The 24,517-nt window shown below is 52.0% G+C and overlaps 1 protein-coding gene and 1 non-coding gene across 22 annotated transcripts in view, besides 1 other annotated feature; both read right to left on the reverse strand.

Moving 5' to 3' along the window:
• The window catches only part of TNS1 (tensin 1), a 234,192-nt gene that overhangs the window by 81,489 nt on the left and 128,186 nt on the right, over positions 1–24,517 (reverse strand). For 20 of the 21 annotated variants that reach the window (XM_047445637.1, NM_001438865.1, XM_047445639.1 and 17 more), the window contains 11 exons: positions 19,184–19,233; positions 16,519–16,690; positions 13,727–13,777; positions 12,160–12,282; positions 11,669–11,733; positions 9,683–9,766; positions 5,255–5,367; positions 4,765–4,825; positions 4,465–4,540; positions 3,756–3,885; positions 1,067–1,132 (listed from right to left, as the gene is read on the reverse strand). In XM_047445637.1, coding sequence (XP_047301593.1) covers positions 1,067–1,132; positions 3,756–3,885; positions 4,465–4,540; positions 4,765–4,825; positions 5,255–5,367; positions 9,683–9,766; positions 11,669–11,733; positions 12,160–12,282; positions 13,727–13,777; positions 16,519–16,690; positions 19,184–19,233 — 991 coding nt within the window. Of the gene's footprint in view, positions 1–1,066; positions 1,133–3,755; positions 3,886–4,464; positions 4,541–4,764; positions 4,826–5,254; positions 5,368–9,682; positions 9,767–11,668; positions 11,734–12,159; positions 12,283–13,726; positions 13,778–16,518; positions 16,691–19,183; positions 19,234–20,430; positions 20,467–24,517 lie in introns of those variants that run through there. The other variant, XM_047445643.1, reaches the window with a different exon arrangement.
• Positions 9,187–9,481: an enhancer, noted in NCBI's record as "tiled region #15318; K562 Activating non-DNase unmatched - State 13:Ctcf". NCBI's record gives its function as "activates a minimal TATA promoter and a strong SV40 promoter by Sharpr-MPRA in K562 cells {active_cell/tissue: K562}" and the evidence as "EXISTENCE:reporter gene assay evidence [ECO:0000049][PMID:27701403]".
• On the reverse strand, positions 19,234–19,349 carry MIR6809 (microRNA 6809). The gene has a single exon (NR_106867.1). It is a non-coding gene; the product is annotated as a microRNA 6809 (primary transcript).

The raw sequence follows: 24,517 nt of genomic DNA on the forward strand, positions 1-24,517 counted from the left end.
AAGAAAGCGGGGAGGACCCCTGGCTGGGTACCTGCCTCTTTTTCTTCTGTGTCCCTGGGGCTCCTGAGGCAGTGCCAAGAGACTAGAAAGTCTGCCCCTGGGGTCAGACCCTGGGGGTGGGGGGCAGGCTGCTTATGAGCTACGTGGGATCAGGGACAGCAGGGAAATCACAGCCCCGACATTGAAAGGACATAAAGCCTCCAAAGGGTCATCCCAGGCATGGCCCTGCCCCCTCTTAAAACGCTCTCCGCTCCAGACAGAAACCTAGGGGGCACGGCAGAATCTCCCAGCCATCCACAGAAAACCCAGCTCAGCATTGGGACAAATACCTAATGCATGCAGAGCTTAAAAGTAGACGATGGGTTGACAGGTGCAGCAAACCACCATGGCACATATATGCCTATGTAACAAATCTGCACATTCAGCACGTGTATCCCAGAACTTAAGGTAAAATAAAAATAAATAAGTAAATTTTTAAAAACCTGGCTCAAAGACAGCATAGCTCCTAGTCAAGTCTGTCAGGGTGAGTTACCTTCCTGGCTTGGCAGTCCTTTCTTTAGTCTATCCAGAGTCCCTCTGCCCATAACCTAACTTCATCTCCTTTCATTCCATTCTCGAATAAGATGGTGAACAACTGGTCTCCACTTATAACCAGTATAGAGGCTTCAAGGTTATTATTAAACCAGCCTTCAGGTTGAATCACCTCAGTTCTCATAAATACACATCTTCTATCCAGCACCTTTGTGTGCCCCCTGCCCGCCAGCCACTCCCTCCATCTACCAAGGACCTCAGTCTCTGAATATAACAGGCTGATGACCTAATGGGACCAGAACAGTTTATCCAACCCAGTGCCTCTCTGTCTGCTTTTTTATTTTTATTATCCAGAGATTAAGTCACTGGTTCATGTTTAGCTAGGGGTCCACTCTGAAACCCAGATCCTTTACTGATGGCCTGCCTCTCAAAAATAACTTGATCACTGTGGAACAGACCAGGGGTGGAAGGGTGCTGGGGATAGGGTCAGGATAAAAGGAAGGAGTGAGAGAATGAATTCTAACTCGGCTTATACCTTGAATTTTCTCTGGCCCATAAGAAAATACAAACTCCACTTTGCCATACTCTGGAAATCGATCATCTGGAAAAAGAGAAGGAAAAATAAAAATAGGCAAAAAGTCCCAAAAAGGATTCCATAAAAAGTTTTCTTCTAGAAAAAATTAAAATACCATATATGTACATGGTTAATAATATAATAATAATCAATGTATATTTATACATATATACATGAAATTATATCTATACAATGAAATTAAATTTCCTGCCCACTCTAGCCCCTGTCCTACTTGCCTGAGGTAATGAGGTCACTGATTCTAACTATTTCTATTGCTTTTCTACTAGCAATTTACCTCTAAGACTCTAAATAATAGCCACTATTTTTATGCCACTATTTCTAGATCCCAATTTTATTTTATTTTATTTTATTTATTTTGAGATGGAGTCTCGCTCTGTCGCCCAGCCTGGAGTGCATATTTATATTTTTGAGACAGAATCTTGCTCTGTCACCCTAGATGGAGTACAGTGGTGCGATCACAGCTCACTGCAACCTCAATCTCCCAAGCCAAAGTGGTCCTCCTACCTCTGCCTCCAGAGTAACTGGGACTACAGGTGCAAGCCACCACGCCCGGCTCATTTTTGTATTTTTTATAGCGACGGAGTTTTGCTGTGTTGCTGAGGCTGGTCTCAAACTCCTGGGCTCAAGCAATCCACCGGCCTCAGCATCCCAAAGTGCTGGGTCTACAGGCGTGAGCCACCATACCCAGCCAGACATGAATTTTAAATAACCTCTATGGATTGACCACTATTAATATGAATAATTTGGTTCACTTATACTACTACCCCTACTTCCTGTCTTCTTAAATCTGATTAGATTATTGTTTTTATTTATGCTATTGATTATCTTTGAAACTTTAAATAAGATAGTTAAGCCTCTATTTCTTTTTCTCTTTTTAGAGACCAGGTCTCACTCTGTTGCCCAGGCCAAAGTGCAGCGGTGCAATCATAGCTCACTGCAGCCTTGAACTCCTGGGCTCAAGTGATCCTCCTGCCTCAGCCCCTGGAATAGCTGTGCTAACAGGCACATGCCACCATGCCCGGCTAATTTTTTTATTTTTTGTAGAGATGGGGTCTCACTATATTTACCAGGCTAGTCTTAAACTCCTGGCCTCAAGCAATCCTCCCGCCTTGGCCTCCCAAAGTGCTGGGATTACAGGCATGAGCCACCGTGCCTGGCCATGCCTCTATTTATTGATATGTCAATTTTCGATGGTATCTCCTGACTCCCACTACGTAAGAGGAGGAAATCTGTGACCCTTCCTTCTCTCAACTTCTGCCCAATCCCTTATTTATTTGATCAGCTATGCCTTTATTTTTCCTTGTTAAGACTGTTATCATTTACATTCTGTACTGTAATTATGATGGCATCTTCTGGCTCCAGTGCAAGGAGAGCTCATTAAAGAAACACCCTTCTACATGAGCCAGACCACACTAAGGAGATCTGGACCCTCCTCCAAGCCCCAGGTCCAGTCTTTCTCCGCCTGAGCCCACTCTGGACACAGATCACTGCCCACTGCATGTAGGAAAAGAAGTTACAGCAAGGATGGCATCTGCTCCATGGGACACCTATCATGCTTGTGCGTGTCTCCATCACTTCAGGCAACACTTCATAGTATCATGTTTGTGTGTCTCTCACTGAGGAAACTGTGAACTCCCTGAGGGTAGGGCCTGACTTCTTTCTGTTCATATCTATAGGGTCTAGCACATGCCCGACACATACAGACACACAAGTGATGCTTGGTGGGTGGGTGGGTGGGTGGGTGGATGGATGGATGGATGGATGGATGGATAGATGGATGGGTGGGCAGATGAATGAATATGTGGATGGATGGACAGATTAATGAAGGGATGGATTAATGGATGGATGAATGGGTGGGTGCATAGATGGATGGGTGGGTGGATGGATGGACAGATGGATGGACAGACGGATGGATGAATGGATGGATGGATGGATGGATGTGTGTAAGGATGGATTGGTGGATGGAGAGAGAGATGGGTAAATAAATGTGTATTTATATGTCCCAGGCATTAATGTGATATAGATAAAACTTCCAATGGATAAAAGAAAGAAGCAAAAGCAAACACCAAACCTTTCCCAACCACCTCTTCTCCTCTCAGAAAATGGTTCCCCCTTGCTGCTGCCACACCCCTCCACTACTGCTCTTCTGCCCTGCAGGGTAATTATCCCCTGCTAGTCTGCCTCCCAACTCAACAAGATTTTTGAGCTCCACCAAGGCAGAGACCATGCCATGTTTTACTTTGTATCCCCGGCACTTGGTACAGATCCTAGCCCAAAGCAGATGCCCAGTGAATGTTGAAAAAAAAAATGATTGTCAGTAGGACACATGTGACAAACTGGGAGGACAAGATGAAGGAGAGACAGGGAAAGTCATAGAAGGCTGCAAGATATAAAACAGCCCAAGGACTGGGAGGAGTTTATCTCCACTTCTACTAACAACTGGAATTCCCAGACCATCCAATCTCAACTCTCTCCCAAGTCTCTCTCAACTCTCTCCTACCATCACCCTGAGACTAGACAGACCACATGGTCCAGAAAAGATGGTCCCCATACCCACCATATCGTCTCAAACTGAGCTCCTCTCCCTGCCACAGGGGTGCCCACCCCCAGCTCCACTCAAGGAGCGCACCTTTGAAAGCATCATCAAGGTCCTCCTTCCCAAAGACAACCCCCAGGTCATGGATGGCACAGGTGTGGAACTGCACACGGAAGATGACGTCTCGGGCTGGGCTTCGGAACTTCTTGTGGTAGCACTTCAGCTGGGTGGGAAGACGGGCAGAACCAGTCAGGGGCCTGAGGCTGGGAGGTCAGGTCCCAGGGAGCCTCCTTATCAGCTCCGCTGACTGAGCCCCCAAGGCTCACCCCAAACCCGGTGAGGGAGAGCTCATCAACACCAAACAGGATCTCAGAGTTCTGTGGGGAAACTTCTAGAACAGCAGAGAATTGGAGGCCAGTCTTGGCCTCTGGGGACAAAAATGTCCTCCCAAGAAGTTTCTACATACAAGTCAGAGTGCAAAAAGTAAGATGGATTTAAATGGCAGCAGGAAGAACTGAAGCTAGAATTCAGAGAGTCCTTGTCACCAATAAGAAGCCAGGAGGTAACAGCTCACGCTGAGTGATATTTCCCTGGAGATGCTCCAGAACAACAGCTAAGCCCAGGGTGAGAGACACAGACTGTGTGAGACTGGAAGGTCTTCCAAGAGCCCTGAGAGCCTATGGTTCCAAGCCTGGCAGCCCAGGAGGAGTACCTGTCTTGTCCCAAGAGGCAGGAAAGGAGTAAGAAAAGAAGGGAGAGAAAATAAACAAGGATGGGGCTTGACACAGAGGACAGCACTCACCAAGATGTCTCCCTTCAAGAGCAGTCCTGGCTCGATGGTGATGCAGACGCTAGTCTGGCTGTCTCCTGGGATGTTGCTAAGGGAGAGAGGTGGGCAGAAAAAGAGTGGGCTGCTGGAGGGGAGATGAGGGAGGGGCATTTTCTCCCTGCTGCCCCTACGCCACAGGGTTAGTGGGAAACCTCTCTGACTCTGTCCTTTCAGCCCTCTTGAGAATATTCTCTCCTCTCCCCAACCTTCTGACCTGGTCCTTAGCCCTGGGCCTTGGGCTTCTCTGGCCTCTCACGCCCATGTAATACTTACTAGATGCCAGATGTGTACACAGGTTGCATGGCCTGGTAGATGCGGAGAAATGGCCGACATCCTGTAAAAGTGGGGTGGGTGTTAGCTAAGACAGCAGAAACTGGCAGGCAGGAGGGGCAGAGGAGACAGTGAAGGGAGAAAGAGAGAAAGGAAGGAAGAAATGGGGGAAGACGGGGTAGGAAGGGGAAGGAGGAAAAGAGGAAAGAGTAAAAGAGGAAGCAGAAAGGGGAAGAAATACCAACTTTTCACTTGTAAGGCAAATTAAATTAATAAAAACATTGCCCATCCAACATCATTGGCCAGCAGGCACTGCAAATAGATTGGTGCTTAGAAAAGTTTAGGAAGCAATACACTTGAGAGTCCAATGGAGGCCTTATGACTCTGCAGCTCTCGGGCTGTCTGTTACTACCCAAGGTTGCCTCTTAGAGAAGATGGAAGATGAAAGGGAGGAGTTGGCAAGGGTGGAGGTCAGAGGGCTCAAGGCAGGTACCTCCTTTAGACTCAAAGTTGGGGATGCCGTGCATGATCACGTGGTGCAGAAACAAGGGCTTGTTGTTCATTTTGATGGAGCCGGAGAGCAGGCCACTGAAGTAATGCACGTACCTGTAGTGGTGGGAGAAGCAGCTTCAGGGAGTGAGGTGGGTACTGGTGCAGTAATCCCTGTTCTCTCTTTTCCAAGAACATTGCCCTAGACCACTCACCTACTCTACCCTCTCCCCAACCAACATGGTCCCCCTCCCCAACCAGGCCTCCCTCCCAGACATGCTTGCCTGCTGCTGGGAGCCCTAGGTAGGAAGAGTGAGCAGGTATACCAGACCTAGAGCTGGGTCAAGTCAAGCATCCCACTTGGAGTTCGCCACCGCCCTCTGGTGGTCAACATGAATATCTCTTTCCTGCTTCACTCCCAGCCCGAGAATCTCCTGCTGGACCAAAATTTCCACCCCACATCCCTGACAGGCATCATTTAGCTGCACAAGGCAGGCCCAACCACCAAACAGCTCTGACGCCCTCACACCCCCACACAAAGCTCAAATCAAGCTTGCGCTCATACTCACAGCCCCAGTTCTGCCCACAGATCCAGTAGCCACAAGTGATAGTCTAGCAAATAGTGAGCAAGACTTTAATGAATGTAGTTCTTCACTTTCTCTACATCATACCAAAGTGCATTAAGTCCCTCTCTCTGTATCCTTGAGTTTACTTGGTATTCGAGGTAACTAGCTTCTAATAAGTATCTATCTCTAGGGTCAACTTCCCCCAATTTTTTTGTTTTGTTTTTGTTTTTGAGATGGAGTTTCACTCTTGTTGCCCAGGCTGGAGTGCAATGGCGCAATCTCGGCTCACCGCAACCTCTGCCTCCCGGGTTCAAGTGATTCTCCTGCCTCAGCCTCCTGAGTAGCTGGGATTACAGGCATGCGCCACCATGCCCGGCTAATTTTGTATTTTTAGTAGAGACAGGGTTTCTCCATGTTGGTCAGGCTGGTCTCAAACTCCCAACCTCAGGTGATCAGCCCGCCTCGGCCTCCCAAAGTGCTGGGATTACAGGTGTGAGCCACCGCACCCAGCCAACATCCCCTAGTTCTTTAACAAAGATCTGTTGGAAGAATGGAAGAACTAACCCACACCCTCTCCTTCTAGACAGAGAGGATAAATAAGGTCCAGGAGGGGTCACTGGACTCCAGAGACACACAGCAAGAACACACAAAGCTGGAAGTGGATGGGGAGAGCAGGAAAGAAGTCTGGGCTCCAACGCATCTGCCCAATAAACTAGAGATCGGTCATCTGCCCAATAGAGATCAGTCCTTCTGCGTCGATTGGTCGGCATTTTCCCTTTTCTGATTGGCCATGGAATGACAAGCTGAGTCAGCTAGACCAATCAGAATGTATTCTGAGGCTCTGCAGGAGCCAATAGTAGCTCTCTGAAGAGGGTGGAACTAGAGCCCACATGACCATGATAAGATCCCCTCCTGTCTCTTGGCTCCTTGGCCCACCTCCAAGCCTGTGGGCCTCTGTCCCTGGGTTTGGGTGGGGCCTCCTCGGACTACTCAAGTAAGATAATCTGATGGGCAGCACCCGATCCTATTCAGGCCCCTGCCCCATTACTCAAGCCGGAAACCTGGAATAGCGGTTCCTATCAGATCTCTGGATCGTGCCAACAGGATGTGTCTGTGTTCGAGGGACAATGAGTCCGGAGGCGGGTGACAATGAATGAGAGAGCTACAGGCAAAGCCCCTCCCTCTCTCTTTCCCTGCCCTCCTCTCCTCCATCTGCTCCATTCCCTGCAAGTGACACTGACAAGAAGGCAGGAGGGTGGCAATAAATGCATAGTAAACCCACAGTTGCACTTCCACATCTGGGCTCAGAGAGGTGACCCATCCACAAGCAGAGGCAGTGTCAGACAGGAGCCAGGCAGACACGCCCCAACTGCCTGCTATGCAAGCATATGTTGAACACGAGATGATATGGTTTGGCTGCATCCTCACCCAAATCTCATCTTGAGTTGTAGCTCCCATAATTCCCTCGTGTTGTGGGAGGGACCCAGTGAGAGATAATTGAATCATGGGAGTGGTTTCCCCCATTCTATTCTCGTGGTAGTGAATAATTCTCACAAGATCCGATGGTTTTGTAAGGGGAAACCCCTTTCCCTTGACCCTCTCTCTTCTCTTGTCTGTCACCATGTGAGATTTGCCTTTCACCTTCCGCCATGATTGTGAGACCTCCCCAGCCACGTGGAACTGTGAGTCCATTAAACCTCTTTCTTTTGTAAATTGCCCAGTCTTGGGTATGTCTTTATCAGCAGCATGAAAATGGACTAATACACCAGGGAATCCCTAAATAATCCTATTCCTGAGAGGTGACACTGATCCCTGGTCTTCAGGCCTTCACTACTCAGACTCAGAGATGTTACTCTCTACCCATTCTCTCCAAGCCACACTGTGCCATTGGAACAGCATGCTTCTCTCTTAGTATCCTTATCCTTCAAGGTCAAAGGCCACACCGTGATTACAGTCAGCAGACACACATGGCAAGCCAGAGGCTGACAAGGCAGTGCTTGACCAATCATTCTTTCTTCCCTGAGAAGACTCTCGTTGATCCACAGCTGCTGTCTCCAGGGCCCTAACCAGAATTTTCTGCACATAAAGACATCCCATTTCTGGTTGCTGACTCTGAGGCTGGCTATCAACTGTTTTGTGCAACTATAAGGTGCTGGGTTACCTGAGGACTCACTCACTTCTTGGGCTTCCAATTACAATGGCGGGAATAGCCCCCAGCTGGGACAGCACAGTTCTAGCCAGCCAAGCAAGGTGGGATGATGGGGCACGTGTTGGGACCCTCAGCATGATGAGGCTGGAGAGCTCCAGGACTCACAGCTCCAGGCCCTTGTTGGCCCAGTCAGTGTGCTCAGGGGCTAAAAAGGCAAATAGGATGCTTTGGCCTCCAGGCCCTTGTAGTCAGTGCTATTCCCTCATTCTGGATCCTTTATCCCGTGCGTTCACTTGGAGGCTTCCTTCTCCCCACCCAGATCTCATGTTACACGTCACCTTCTCAGAAGGCCCTTCCATTTGAATCAGCCCTCTTTCCAGCCCCATCACTCTCTAGCCATCATAGTTTGCCTTTTCTTTGCAGCTCTCATGACTATCTGAATTGTTTCCTTATATGTGTAACATCCACTAGAAGCTGAGCTCCATAAGCCCTTGCCTGGCGGATTCAGCACCATGTCACCAGTGTGCAGAATGGTGCTGACATCACGGCAGGTGGCAGGCCCACAACTCCCAGCAGCAAACAGAGCTGGGCCTGCGTCCCACCATCCAGGTCTCCAGTTTGGGCTTGGGTTTCCCACCATCCTGGCTGCAGCCTCCCCCAAAGACCTCCTGCCCCTGATGCTGCCTGTGCCTTCCTGTGCATGAGATGTCTTTGAGCAACATGTCACCCACGGAGCAGGATCCCTCAGGACAGTGGGTCACACAACCAGGAGGCACTGCCCTAGCCCAGGCATTACTAGGCCTTCACGTACTTTCCAGTTCTGCCACTACTCACTATAGACCATGGCCACGCCCCCTCCCTCGGCTCAGCTTCTAATCTGCAAAATGGGATGCCTAGATCATCACACGATAGCTCACCGTGATTCCAGTTTAGGCTCAAATTCACCCCCTCTAAGAGGTATTCCCTGACCATCCCTATTAAAAGAGCCCCGTTCCCCTATCAGTTCTCGTGTCTGCAGTGCCCTCTTTCCTTCCTAGCCTCATTGCTGTCTGACACTGTCTTGTTTGTATGGTTATTTGTTTCATGTCCATCTCTCTCATTAGGTATCAGCTCACCAAGGGAAAGGACTTTTTCCTGTTCACCCAGATATCTCAGTGCTTGGAGCCATAGTAGATGATTTAAATTTTGCTGAATGAATAAATCCATCCCTGCCCTGTTTCCTGCCTGGGCTATTGTGAGACTCCAATGAGACCATGTGGTTGAAAGCTCTCAGTAAAACTGTCTAAACTCTCCCAACAGAAGGTGACCCTTATCATGAGTGTCTGACCTCCCACAGCAGGGGGCAGTGATGCAGTCTCCCGTAGACTCATCCAAGCACTGAAGCAATCCTGCTTCCAGGGCCAAGAACAGCACATGCCTTCCTAGACCAGCGCCTTCTTATCCCCAGACTCATGCTTCCCCATGAAGGTTGCACTGCTCTCTAGCACAGGCCTCAGAGTCAAGTGCTGTGCCAATCTGCGGGCACACACCACAGGCTGGCTCCCGGGCTCTCCTGTGTGCCTGAGCTCACACCACTGCAGGCTGGCATCTGAAAACTTGCGCCTGGTACACCCCCACCTAGGCACAGCTATCCCATCCCTGTGAGTACACAAGTCTAGTCCCCACATAGAGTGAGTGCACACATACATGCAAGGGGCTGTGAGCCCCAGAGACCCACCTTCTTTGGGATGGCTGGCCAATGGGCACAATCTTATCCTCATAGAACCGCTTCATTGCAAACCGGTCCAGAGCCTGGTCCGCACTGCAGGGAGAGACAGGTGGTCAAAAGAGGCAACTCCTGCATCCAAGAGCCGCTTGTTTTCCCCACCCCTGCTCCCTCAGACCTGCAGAGCACTCTGGCCAAAGAGCACCTTTGTCCTGGAGGGAAGACAAGCCTCTTCCCCCTGCCATCCTGTGCCGAGAAGCTTTCAGGAAAAGAGTGTTTCAGCATCTCTCCAACTGTGCAGGGCCGCACTCAGCCCAGGCTTTAAAGTTCAGCAGCCTGGGAGCCCAGCTCAGGTCTACCACTTATGAGCCCCGTGTCCTGGTACAAGTTCCTGAATCTCTCTGAACTTCATTCTCCTCACCCATCAAATGAGGGTGATAATTGCCCCTTCCTCAAAGGTGACTATGGAGATGAAGTGAGGGAATATCCATAAAGAGCTTGGCACTCATGGCACACAGTAGGGGTACAGGAGTGCAGTAAAGGTGCAGCCTCATCTTTGCTTATCATTAAGCAAAGGTGAGACTGACTTGGGTTGCTCGAAGTCCTAAAACTACAGCCTCCTGGCAGGCCCTCCACAGAAGATTCTACCATCCTCACAGAGCACTCAGAGAAGTCACTTTGAAATGAAAAGATCACGAAGCTCCAGTGACTTCCCATCACTCTTAGAGCAAACCCCAAAGTCCTCAGTGAGGCCGCGAGGCCCCATGGCTCTGCCACCTCCCAGCTTCCCCTCCTCTTCCTCTTCCCTCACTTGCTCAGCTTCAAACACCTCAGCCCCTCGCATTCCCATCCTTCCTCTTCTCTCAGTGTGCAGGGCACATCCCACAGGCTTGATAAGGCTCAGCCCTTTCCATCCTGGTCACTCAGGTCTCTGTTCCAGTGTCACCTCATCAAGAGGCCTTCTCCAACCATGGACCTGCCTCGCCACTGCCCTTCTTGAGTCCCTTTACTCTTTCACGATAATTATCACCTGCTATTACTAATGTATTTGTTTATGTGTTTAATGCCCATGAGGGCAGTGGCCTGGCTTTGCCCTCTGCTGCATTCCCAGGACCTAGAACAGAGCCTGGCACATTGTCTGTTCAATATTTATTGTTTTTTTCTTTTTGAGACAGAGTCTCCCTGTCTCCCAGGCTGGAGTGCAGTGGCACCATCTTGGCTTACTGCAACCTCCCTGCCTCCCAGATTCAAGGGATTCTCCTGCCTCAGCCTCCTGAGTAGCTGGGATTACAGGCACCTGCCCCACCATGCCTGGCTAATTTTTGTATTTTTAGTAGAGACGGAGTTTCACCATGTTGGCCAGGCTGGTCTCGAACTTCTGACCTCAAGTGATCCACCTGCCTTGACCTCCCAAAGTGCTGGGATTACAGGCGTGAGCCACTGCGCCCAGCCATATTCCTTGTTGAGTGAATAACAAAACGAATGGGTGAATCCCTCTGCCTCTCTGCAGAGTGGGATTGGAAAGGGAGTCAGTGACTGGATGTTCTTTATTCTTGTTCCAAACACCTAGGTAGGAAGAGGGCCCTGTTGTCCAGAGGCAGAGGAATAGATGAGACAACTTCTAGACTGTTTTGCCAGACCCAGATCTGATCCGACATTTCTTTCTGACTCCCTTCCTGCTGGCCCAGGGAAAAAGAAGGCAGTTTGGCAAGGAAAAGTGGCTCCGAGGAGCTGGCCGCATGGGTTGCTCAGGACAGGGCCTGCCTCCCAAGGCTGCCCCACCAGAACCCCTGATAGAGAAGTGGACTCTCCTCCCTCCCGCCCTCTGTCCACAGGCTCCTGCCTCAGAGCCAGGGGCCCCTTCCCCCGTCCTCATCGCTTCTCATTCCCTCTGTGCGTATCCCCTCACTCCAGGGAGCAGAGAGGCTGTGGGTGGATGAGAGGAGGGGGGTCACACTGTCGATGTTCAGAGGATGGGAGGCTCCAGGCCCCTCTTACCTGGCAGAAATGTTGCTGTAGTGCATGTAAGCCGCGATGACAACTCCTATCCTGCCTCGGTTTCCCTGAAAGAGCCCCAAACACAAAATCATTTATTTCTAAGGCCAGCCTTGCTGCCCCAGAGCTTATCTAGAAGCCTTGGTGGAAAAGAGTCAGGGCTGGAGAGAGGGGTGTGGATTTAAGGGAGAACATAAGGAGGAAGGGGGCCTCAGGGGAGGGAGGCAGGTGGGGACTAAGTCTCAGAAAAAACACAGCTGATCATCCACTGCCGTGGACATAAGCTGATGTCCCCTACACTTCTTAGAAGTGCCGCCCAAGACAGAACCTATTATCCCCTAGAAAGAAAAATACACACAGACTTATATGCTCGCAAAATCCAAAGATATAGGCAGGTACACACAATCATCCAAGGACACATTCAGGCACACACACATGTGCGCATGTGCGCGCGCGCACACACACACACACACACACACACACACAGCTCTGACCTTGTTGTGTAGAACAACGACATTGTGAGGGTCTGCATTGAGCCATGTGTCCATGGCCTTACAGATGCTGCAGATCTTCTCCAGGGCTGGGGTGTGGAGGTCGGGCCAGCCAAATTCCAGTACCTGTGGCCCAAGCCATGAGTGAGAAGAGGGCAGAAGCCCTGCAGAGCCAAACAAGCCAGCGGGAGCCACCTACGCCACGTGCCAGTACCTGGGCAGTGGCCCGCAGCTGCTGGTTCCTGCCAGGACTTGGTTCCTCCCTGCCCACTGGCCAGCGAGGAGGCAGGGGAGTGAAGGGCAAAGGCCATGCATGACCCAGTACTGGGGACCCTGGTCCCGGGTCTTGGCCCTGGCACTGACTCACTGTGGGGCCTTAGGCCTCAGGTCCTCTTCCAGCCTCAATTTCCCCATATGTGTGTTAAAAAAACAAACAAAAAGAAAGGCTTGGAGCTGATGACCCCAAGGTCCCTACCATAGGACTGACCTCCAACATGCTGAGGGGCCCCAAGCACTGTCCTCAAGCTCTTCTCCTACGGACAGCCCTGAGGCCTGGCTCAGGCTGCGAGAGGAAAAAGCAAAAGGCTGCCTGATGTTCATGACTCTTTTCTAGGCCCTGGTCACACAAACCATCCACTTTCCAGGCCAGCCAAGAGCAGCCTTAAGGACACAAAGGGCAGACCTGAACAGCAGGCTTCGGGCCTCTCAAAATCTTTCTAGACTCACCAACTTTAAAGTAAAAGAGAACTCTGCAAGGACCCATAGAGCACACCTAATCCAGCCAGGCCACTTTCAGAGGGGCACACTGAGGCCCAGAGAAGTCCATCACCCACCCAGGATCACACAACAGCATGTACCAAACTCTCAGAGCTAGGAGCAGATGCCCATGGCAAAGCCCACACACAGCCCCCGAGCAAACAGAATAAAAAGCAGCAACAGGTCCAGACGCGCTGGCCCATGCCTGTAATCCCAGCACTTTGGGAGGCCAAGGTGGGCAGATCACTTGAGGCCAGGAGTTTGAAACCAGGCTGGCCAACACGGCGAAACCCCATCTCTACTAAAAATACAAAAATTAGCCAGGCATGGTAGCACGTGCCTGTAGTCCCAGCTACTCGGAAGGCTGAGGCAGGAGAATCACTTGAACCCAGGAAGTGGAGGTTGTAGTGAGCTGAGATCACGCCACTGCACTCCAGCCTGGGCGACAGAGGGGGACTGCATCTCAAAAAAACAAACAAACAAACAAAAAAACCGGCAGCTGGAAGGTCGAAAGCAGCGGCTCCCAACTGCTTTAAATCCAAAAACTAAACATCTCACAACTCCAGCCTCACCCAAGTGATTCTGTGTACTCCCCAGCAGGCAGACCTGGGTGGAAAGTCACTGCCCCAAGCTTTGCTTTCTGTAATTGGCATTGTGGAAATGATAAGTAGATCATTTTCCATTTTCCAGATATAAGTCGGCACTCTGACAAACTGTCACAGCATTTTCCCCAAGATTATTATGTGGGAACTCCAGAGAGGGAGTCCATCTGTTCTCCTTCTCCTCCCCTACCCCAAAACAGCCCCTGGCTCACCTTGGCATGGAGCTTCGTGATGTCAGGTCTCCGCTCAGAGAGGTTGAACAGCTAGAAGGAGCAAAAGGAAGAGAGCATGAGGAGGTGAGGGTGAGGAGGGCGGCGAGGAGAGAGAGAACCATGGCCTGCTGGTCCCAGAAAGGACCGTGGCATCATTGCCAACTTCCTCTGAAGAGCCCACGACAGCATCCAGCAGAGCGTCAATGTCCTCTCACGGCCAGGGGCCTGGCCACGGAACAGCCATGAGCTCCCTGGACCTCCTGTGCCTGCTCTCGCTCTCTCTCCCCGATAGGAATTCTATCCATACGTGAACATGCAGGTGAGTCCCAGCAGACACACCGTCACGAAGAGGAACTCAACTGTAGGTCCTCAGGATGAAAAGGGAGAGAGAGAGAGATGTAGACACTCAGCCACCCTGTTCCGTGAGCGGATGTCCCGAATGGAAGACGAGAAGGGGATGGAACTTGTCTCCAGTTCCGCTTGCCTCTCACCACACCGAACGGGAATCCAGCTGTGTGAGATGATAAGTAGTTGGCAATCTCTGGTTTCCACTTCATACCTTGACCCTAGAACCTCATCCCATGAGGTTGCAACCTCTCTGTCACCAGACTTCCTCCATCAGAGGGGCAAACCATCCTGGGTGGGCCCAATCAGACCCTTGACATACCTCTCCCAGCACATGCCTTTCAACGCCTGACCACTGGGGTCCCATTCCTGACCACTGGAATCCTAAGGAATTCTCCAGTCTCTGGAATTCCTGCCTCTACCTCCGAGGGGGGCATGCAGAACTTCCCACCTCCACCCCACTGCCTAGGAAACTCAAAGGCACTGTGTCATCTCCTGGGGAGAAAAGGGGACAGCCCAGTCTGGAATAGGCAGGATAGAGAGAGGGGTGGCAGGGCACCAAGTCCCATAGAACCCTGGACTCCTAAAATCAGAAATAGGTGGATTTGCATCCACTCTTGCACTCTGTAAAGGAATACACTTTATTATGGTACAATAGCCATCACTCAATGAATGTCTGCCACCTGTCAGCCTGTCTTAAGGACTTTACATCTAACAGCTGGCTTAATTCTCTCAACAACAATAAGAGGTAGACCTCAGACCCACTTTACGGACACAGAAGCTAGGGCTTAGTGAGGCTAAACAGCTAAGATCATGTAGTTAGTAAAGGCAGAGCCAGAATTTGAACCCAGGACTTTCTGAGGTTTAAAGCCAAGCTCTTAACAATGCCCCAATGCAGCTAACAGGTGGGTCTCTATAGTGGTTGAATAGTATCCTCAAAACGTCATGTCCACCCAGAACTTCAGAATACAACCTTATTTGGAAATAGTGCCTTTGCCAGTGTAAGTAGTTAAGGATCTCAATATGACATCAACCTGGATCTAGGGTGGACCCTAAGTCCAATAATTGATGTCCTTGTAGGAAGAGAAGACACACAGAGAGACACTGAAGAAGGCCACGTGGAGATGGAGGTAGAGATTGGAGTGATGCGCTACAAACCAAGGAATCCCACCGCAAGCTAGGAAAAGGCAAGAAGGGATTCTCTGCCATAGGATTCAGAGGGAGCATGGCCCCGTCAACACCTTGATTTCAGATTTCCAGCCTTCAGAACTGTGAGAGAATAAATTTCTGTTATTTTGAGCCACCAGATTTGAGGTAGAGTCATCACTTGGTGTCTATGGAGGATTTGGATCTAGGACCCCTCCACCCCGCCATGGATAGTGGATACCAAAATCCATGGGTGCTCAGGTCTCTTACATAAAATATGTACTATTTACATATAACTTGCATATAAAAAATGTACTATTTGCATATAACTTATGCATATACTTCCGTAGACTTTAAATCATCTCTAGGTTACTTGTAATACCTAATACAATATAAACGCTCTGCAAATAGTTGTTCTGCTGTATTGTTTTTATTTGTATTGTTTTTTATTGTTATTTACTGTTGGGTTTTTTCTGAATATTTTCAACTCATGATGGATTGAGTCCAAAGAGGTGAAACCCATGGATAGAAAGGGCCACCTCATTTGCTACAGTGGCCCTGGGAAACTAATGCAGCCTCCTACATCCCACCTCAAACACCCTGGGGACAGCCACCTGAGGTTGTACAGATCAGATCTGTGGGTCCAGTCCACAGGCACCTCCCTCTAAAATGGACCTGAGCCCTCCTCTGGGGCCAAGGACGGATCAGCCTTTCTGCGTTAGTGGAGACCACCGCCAGCACCTCTCTCCCGTGTGCCAAGGTGACTCCTCTGGGCCAGGCCGAGCCAGGTGCCAGCAACCCAGGGTCCCTTAAGACACATGTTGCCAAGACTCTGCCCTCAGACTTCTCAGAGGCACCGACCCTGTGCCAGCTCTGCCACTTCCTGACCCTGCAACCTTAGGCAAATAACCCCACCTCTCTGTGCTCTGGCAAGTGCCTGCTTGCTAGGGCTGCTGCAAAGGTTAAGTGCGTGGAAAGCAGTTGGAACAGGGCCTGGCTAGTAGCAAGCGCTCAATAACCTGAACTCTTATTGGTACTCTCTTCTCCTGGCCAGCACACACATGCACACACAGAGTTCCAGATGCTACATTCCAGCTGCAGCACACTCCTTAGAGGAGAGCTGGGCTGGAGAGTGATTGAAGACTCAGGCACGAGAGCTGCCTGAGGGGAAAGGCAGATAAACAAAGAGAAGAGGGCATGCTGGCACAGGGGCTGGTGGCAGGGATACCAGTCATGTAGAGGTGGTGAGCAGATGGAAGCATAGAGGGCACAGGACAGTGGGCACGAGGATCCATCCTCACCAGGTAGTTGCCTCCATGTTTGGACTTGAGCATCTGCGCCACCTCACGGAGGTTGCTCCGGAAGTTCTCCTCATTGGCTGTGCTGGGGAAGGAGACAGCGATGATCCTCTCTGTGACGTACACCAGGTCCAGCTCACAGCTGTCCTCCATGGTCCGGCTCACACTCATGTTTCTAGGGAGACAGCAGGCAGCGGAGGGTCCATATCAGAATCCAGCCCACAGGGAAGGCCCCAGATAGCTGCACCCCATACACACCCTGTGTGACCCCCATATGCAGCCCAGGGTGCTTGGCTGCTCTTCAACCCAAGGCCAAGGCCACAGGCTTCCTCTGGCAAGGCCAATGTGGCCGGCTTGGGAGTGCCGGCGAGAACAAGCTGGGTAGGGCTGGCAAGGACCTCAGGCCATTTCAGAACCAAACTGTGATGACACCAATTCTTGGTTCCCATCAGTCCTTTGGCCACTGCCTTCAACCTGTGACTCCAGAGCTCAGAGCCAGGGCCAGACTGGCCCAGGAACCCAGGAGCTCTGGCTCCCAACACTGGCTGCCTGGCCAGGCAGAAGTCTCCCGAAAGGCCCCAGACTGCTCTGGAAGAGGAAGGAGAGCCTGCGCTGGGCGCTCTCCAGCCCTGGAACGGAGACTTCCCACTGCCCGCCCCTAGCTCTCGAGCTGTGGAGTGGGCGGGAAACCTCTCAGGGGAGGGGGCATCTCAGGTGACACGTTCACCTGGGTTCCAGGTAAGCCAGACCACAGCACACATTCCAGCCCTCCCGGAGGCAGGCCAACTCCTGCCCTTTGTTCCTTGGCCTTCTCCCCACCTCTGGCAGCTCCCACTGCCTGCCAGAGCTGCTTCTTGGCAGCAGCCTCCCTGATTTCTAAGGGCCCAGAAAACAAGAGGGCACAGAGCCCTTGTTGCTGCAGTGGCGGGCAGCCGCCAGCACCATGCGTTTCCCGGAGAGGTGGGGAGGCCCCTGGGCTGGCCATCCTCTCCACTGGGCACTGGGTGAGGAAGGGAGGGGCTCGCATCTTTACATCTCTCCCAACTTTTCTTCCAGAGGAAGGGTCCAGGATGCCCACTTGGGAAGCCCACCTCTTGCTTCTAGAAGCACCTCCCCCATCCCTCCAGCTTTTTCCCCAATCATTGACCTCCTAGTGTCTCGCTTCCCCCTCTATCAAATGCAGGCAGCACTGACATTTCATTCTGCTAACCTTTCACCACAGCGGGATAAAGTGGAGAGTGGAGGGCAGCGAAAGGAATACCACTGGGGTATTTAAAAGTGATGAGGGCTCTCTGGCACTAGACAGAACAAGCCCCCAGATGCTGAGAAGCCATGAGGAATCCAGACCTCCACCAGGGTTCAATCCCAGTCCAGGTGGGGTGTGGAGATGGGGCAGCCAAGGATGAGGCATGGCAGGACCTCTCTGTTGGGATGACAGGGGCCTGAGTGGGACTGGGGACCAGCACCCAGAGGTAAGGAGCCCGGTTTGAGTTTGACTCTGAGTCCCAGCTACTTCTTGTCCCTATGGAAAGCTTCTCATTGCAGCTGTGGGGGAGAAGTTTCTATCTCAAGCCAACTGCCTACCCAAGGACAGTTCTTGTAGGTGGTGACCAGTCTGGGACAAGAAGCCACACGCACACATACCTGCAAGCAAGTGGGTGTGAGGGCGGGGAGCCTCAGCTAACTTGCAGCATCCCCTCCTCCCCATCCTCCAAAACCCCTCTCTGTTCTGGCTCCAAGGAAGAAACTAGAATGTCAGAAAAACTCGCAAGACAAGCTCCTGTGATTTCAGCCTCTCCCTCAGCACAGGAAGGGGAGCAAGAGGGGCCGTGCTGGTGAGGGCCATGAGTCAGACGTGGCCCATCTGGGGCACTGACCCGCCCCTGTCTACAGGCTGGATCCCAGGAAGGACGCAAATGCAGAACAGTGCCACCAGCCGGACAGCCTCAGCATCACACTCTGCATCCACCTGCCCAGGTCTAAGGGAAGGAGGGGATCCTCTAAGGAGCCACCTCCAGTCTGTGGACAGCTGGCAGCTGGGCCAGAAACTTCCAGGGGCTTCAACTCTACTGCAGGGCTGGCATCCCCAATCATCTCAGGAGCCTCAGTGGGTGAAGGTGAGGCAGAGAGGGCAAAACAAACTCTCTGGATCGCCAGGACACAAAGTCCCTTGTGCATCCCCTTCCCCCGGCCCCTGCCAGCCCAGCCAGATAGGGAACTTCCCTTTCATAAATGACTCTGCCCAGTCAGAATCCTGTCTGCAGAGAGGAAGAGATCCAGCACAGGCCTCAATGCTCATCAGCCCTAAACGCAAATCCAAGTGCTGCCTCTTGGTGGCTGTGTGACCTTTACAAGTCACCTCATCTCTCTGAAATGCTGCTCTACCAAAGGGAATAAAATACGTACCTTGCGGGGTTGTTGCAAGGACTAGATGAGCTCATGCAGGTAAATAAAGACTCAGCTCAAGGGCTGGCTAAGAGCTCAAAACACAACTGTTGCCAACGGCATCCGCACGCATCCTCTCCTGTGCCTTTCACGTTTGCCCACACTCCCCACCCGTGGCTTTATGGCTGCAGTCCGGGGGACCCAGAGGCAAGACTTAACAGGGACACCCACAGTGACCCCCCTGCTTGCACTCCCGCCCCCTGCCCCCACGGGCCAGGCATACCTGATGGGCTGGAGGTGGGGCTGGACACTCGGGGTGACCCTGGTGGAGCCCTGGGAAGGAGAGAAGAGAAGCAGCATTATGCAGGGGTGGGCAGGATGGCAGGAGGAGCACACCAGAGAGCTGTCCACGGGGGCAAACATGATCCTCTTCTTTCCTTGCCAACATTCTGGCCCTGCCACCCTAACCCCTGCAAAAACACAGCCTGCCCGAAGCCAAAGCCATCAACACTGATTCCACGTGAGTGTGCCTGCCTGTGTGCAAGCCCCAGAGGGACAAAAGGAAGAATCCCGAATGCTGAGGAGTGCACCCCACTGGGCTGGTGCCATCCACACTGAGGGCACACTCAACAGTTACTGAATCAATGGAAACACACTTCACTTTGATACACTCGCCAACACAAGAGAAACCCCAGGAGGAGAATACGACTGCCACCACAAAAGGAGCGATGAGAGTAATGGCGCCCCTCTGTCTTGCCACCATCACCCCACACTTCTCTGCTTGAAAGCTGTAACATCAAGTCATTCAATTGAGTTTAGAGACCAGAACAGGCAGGTGGAGCATGCAGGAACCAAGACGAGGCCTAAGACAGTGAGCCATGCTCCTGAGGGCCCACTCCCCACTGTCTGTGGCAGACAGTAACCATCTCACCCACTCCCCTTTTCACAGCTGTCGAGTGGTACAAACTTAAGCAAATGGGCCCAATCCATCCCAGGGCAGCAGGATGGCATGGCGGGTGTGAAAGCACAGGGTCAGAGGCCCACAGACCACAGAGTTTGGATTCCAGGATCCTGCTGGGCAGCCCTGCCAGTTACTTAACCCCTCTGAGCCTCTTGTAATGTCACATGTAAAATGGGACAACCTTCAGGCTGGCAGTGAGGATCCAAAGGAGTTATGCATATAAGGCACTTCGCATCATGCCTGGTATTTACCAGATGACAGCTGTTGTTTTTGTTGTTACTTTTGTATCAAGAAAAATGAAAAGGGTAGTTACAACCAAACATTCACCTCTATAGAAAACCAACACCCTGCATCGCCTCTACCCATCCTTCCAGTCACCTCACAGGATGCAGAATTGGGAAGGCCAGTTTCTAGATTCTCAGACCTCCTGAGCCCATTGACACCTTCCAAACACCCATGTGCCTCTCAGAAAATGGTCTTTTCCTACCGCCAAGTTGCAGCCTCTTCTTTAAAGAGACAGGACCACAATCTGCCAAGAAAGGAAGAAACTGAGGCACAGAATAACTTACCCTCAAGTCCCTGGGAAGTTGACGGCCAGGCAGGATTCACACTCCAACCTGGGGCTTGACCACGGGGTCTCCAAGAAGAGGAGCCCCTGCACCCCTCTCCTGGCTCCGCAGTGCCTACGAGGCAGGATAGGTGGGTTCCGAGGTCCAGCTCCCAGCTGAGCCCCAAGTTAGAGCAGCTCTGCTAAGAGGGGGACCCTCCATCCAGCTGTCCGGAAGAAGGCTCTGCCCAGAGTCCCAGCTGCCTCGGACCAATGAGCAGCTCCTCAGCAGTGAAGGAGGGAAGAGCCAAGTGGGGCTACTGGGGGGAAGTTTCTAAGTCTCACAGCTCTTCTGGCCCTGAGGACTCCAGTTTGCATGAGTCAAGCTTGGGGGTGGGGGGATTAGACAGGGGTGGAGCTGGGAGTCAACGAGTGACTGTGTTTGGTTTTCAAGACCCAAACCAGGCTGTTCCAAAACTGCCCCCTCAGAGGAACACAGAAACCCAACAGTTCACCCATCTCCATTTCACTGGTCCCTAATGAGGAGTCCCTGAATCTCCCCAGGCCCTAGGCCCTGCTCCAGGCCCCAGGGCCACCCTGCTATAAATAGCCCCTTGAGTTTCATCTGTTGCTGATCCGTAGCCACTTTTGGAGGAAGCCACCACAGCTGCTTTGAACAACTGGAAGCCACAACGGTAGCCAAGACGTGAGGTGTGGCCAGGAGCATGGGACCAGACCCAGGGAGCTGGAGAAAGACAATGGGCCATATTGATATGGGCTTGGCAGGGGGAACTGGGGAACCAAGGGGGGCCGGGAGCCTGCAAAGGTGCAGGGGTAAGCAGGACAAGCAGGACAGGAGACCTGGCTCCCCTTTCCCCACCGCCCTCTTCCAAACATTACAACACTCCACATTCCTCAGCCTCCCCACCCCAAAAAAAGCCAGTGAAGATAAATAAAAACTTGGCCCAAACAGAGTCTGGCCAGGCCGCCTCCAGAGGTGATAAGGCAAAGTCCAAGCCCGCTCTGCTCCACCGGGCGGGGAGGGGAGGGGAGGCATGGGGAGGAAGCCACCCTGGACAGTGACCCCAGTGCAGAGGATGGGGGACGAACAGCTGGGACTGTCATCCCCTGATGAATCACTGGGCTGCCCTCTCACTGACGGGGCTTCCTGTTTTCTGCAAAGTTTGGGGGCACGTGACCCTTGCTGGCGGACAGCAGACATGCACGGTGACACGTCTGAGTGTCGGTACACACAGACAGACAGAACTCAGAGAACAACAAATGGGCTGGGGCAGGGGCACGGCATGTCAGCAAACACACCCTACTGCTCCAGAAACACAGGTGACCTCACACGAGGCTAGAGATGGTGCCTTTGGAAGCATGCCTCATCACGTAGGCTTTTTACAAGCACAGTGGGAGTAACACAAGGCATCCGGTCATCCCTGGGCCTCCAATCTTCATGCTCATTCTCTCATTCAGCAAACATCCACCGAGTGCCACCAGCTGTGTGCCCAGCCATGTTCTAGACACCAGGGGACAAAGGAAGTGAAGTCCCTGACCTCAGAGAGCTTATATTTTACAGACCATGATACTCATCACCATACCCAGTGTGAGGAGTAGAGGTTCCGTCTCATTTGTCCATCTGTAAAATGGGCACTGCACAGTGCTCACATAATCTTCTGCCTACTCCGCGTGGAGCCCCTAGGGAAAACGACTACAGGACTTTACAAACCTTATAAAAAGGAAAATAAGCTCTCTGCCTGCCTGTAATCCTATTCTTTTCCTCTCCGGGGATCACAAATCACCTTACCCAAATGGCTTTGAACTTCTTCCTGGCTCCTCTCAAGACACAGGTTGATTACAGAACTTTTCATCCAACTCTCTAAACACCAAACAGAACTCTCCCCATCCTTACCTCCAAAACACAATCCTTCCTTTGCTGAAAGGGCACCATGAAAGGAAATTCGACAGCCTCCCAGACAGAGTGTCTTACTTTTCTCACTGTCAGGAATTTCCTCCTGGTATCTAACCCTCATCCTTCCTGCTGCAGATTCAGCCAACTCTTTTTGCCTTGGTCCTCATTGCAGGCAAGAGTGGATCACCACTCAGACACTACTGGGTGGCTCAAGGTCTATGACCCCAGGTTCTGTTATCTGCTGCCTTCTTCCCCGTCATGAGGCAAGGAGCACGAACCTCCAGCCTTGGGTGGGGTTGGTTTGAAGCAATGCCTCTGTGGGAAGAGCCCTGCTTTCCTTTGAGGTCCACAGACCAAACACAACAGCTCAGGACCAAAAGAAAAGCCATTTCCTGAGCCCAGATCCCCAGAGGGGCACAGTTGGGAGGAGGGTCTGTAAGCGAACACCAGGGGCCTTGTCAGGCAGCCAGAGATTGGTGACCAACCTACGTCAGGGGCCCGGCCCCATTCCTACATCTCCTCTGGGGGCTGTGGCCAACCCCCACATAGCACCCCCTTCAGCCACACCCCTTCCCCTCTCCTTCCTGCCCACTAGCCTGGATTTTTCCAAAACAAAGTGCGACACAGCACACTATCCACAAACTCCACTACACACCAACTCGGCAGGAGGAAAACAGCCATTCCTGCCTGTGAGTCCTGGGCCGTGGGCCAGAGACAGCAACACAGCTTGACAAACAGCCACATTATCACAGCAGCAGGCCCAGGTCCTCCTCCCCCGGGGTGGACTGCTGGAGAGTCCCGTGGCTGGGCAGGGGACTGGCTCAATGACCCTGGAGCCAACCCAACCTGAGACAGGTGACAGGAGCCTTACAAATTAGGTTTTCTCTCCTCTTTTACAGTACACAGGCCGTTCTGGTAGCTGCTCACTTGCTTACCTTTCCAAAGCTCATTTTGTCTCTCCTCCCATAGCCAGACAAGACAGCACACTTACCCACCCCGACACACAGGCACAGACACATCCATCCCAGATCACCAATACTTTCTTCTAAAAAAAGCCAAAGAGCCTCAGTCACAACTAAACGGCCACCTCTTTCTTCCCTAGGACCAAGGTCGTGCACACTCTTGCAATCAAAAGTTCTTCGTGACGTCTAACTTCACTGTCTCTTGCTGTAGCTCTAGTTGACGGGATCCATCTGGCCCAGACTGGGGATGTGGGGACAGCAGCTCTAGGATGTGGCTCCTGAGTGTGCCCAGACCATTGCCTAGAAGGCTTGGTTCACACACCATCACCCTGTCCCCTTGCCAAAGGTTAGCAGTTCAGGATAACACCAGACCCCAGCAGCAGTCCCAGGAAGGGATGGAGTGGCATTCACCAAATCATTCAGCAACGCCAAGCCTCTGCTTCCTCATCTATAAAGTGGATTCATAGCCTCTGCCATACAGGGGTGTCAGGAGGATCGCAAAACACCCAACACAGCTCCCAGCCCTTAGTCAAAATAACAGTAATAAGAATGGCTTACATTTATTGAGCACGTATGATATATTTTGAGTACATTAAACCTGTACATCCTTGGTAGTAGGTACACACAAAAAATTAGGTTCCCCCTGCACCCCAGTCCCAGAAACATCACAAAGCGGGACAAGGGCCCCTCCCCAGTATGAGTACCCCACGCCCAGGGGAACTCATGCATACCTTGAGCAGAACCTTCCCCACTAATTTAAGAGGCATGCTCCCTGCTCCACCTGGAGAGGCCCCATGCGGTCCATGGGATGCTGCCGCTTTGTAGGGCTGGACATGCAGGGCTGCCCCAGGGCAATGTGGTGGTGGCAGTGGGCTCACCATGGGAGTCAGGCTGCCTATAGGAACTGCCCCTCCTGCTCCCGCAGCACTCCCTCCAGGGCCCTCCCCACCGTGGGTCAGGCAGCTGTCAGATGATAGGGCCTCGTGCCATCAACATCTACCCCTGTGCCAACCACCAAAACCACTCCCTGTTCCTCTGCAGCCCAGGGCGGGTGAAGACGGAGGGGCCAGCACAGGGAGTACGGTCAGAGAGGGGCAGGGAAGAAAAGACAAAGCCCCACTGTGCTGGGAGTCTGCCCCTGGGGTGTGGAGACAAGACCAACCCCGAACGGGGCTCAAAGCACGTCCTGGAAGAGACCCCGAGCCCTTCTGTGGGATCCTTCCATTTCAGGC

Source organism: Homo sapiens, chromosome 2 (genome assembly GCF_000001405.40).
Source record: "Homo sapiens chromosome 2, GRCh38.p14 Primary Assembly".
In the NCBI taxonomy this organism is placed as follows: Eukaryota; Metazoa; Chordata; class Mammalia; order Primates; family Hominidae; genus Homo; species Homo sapiens.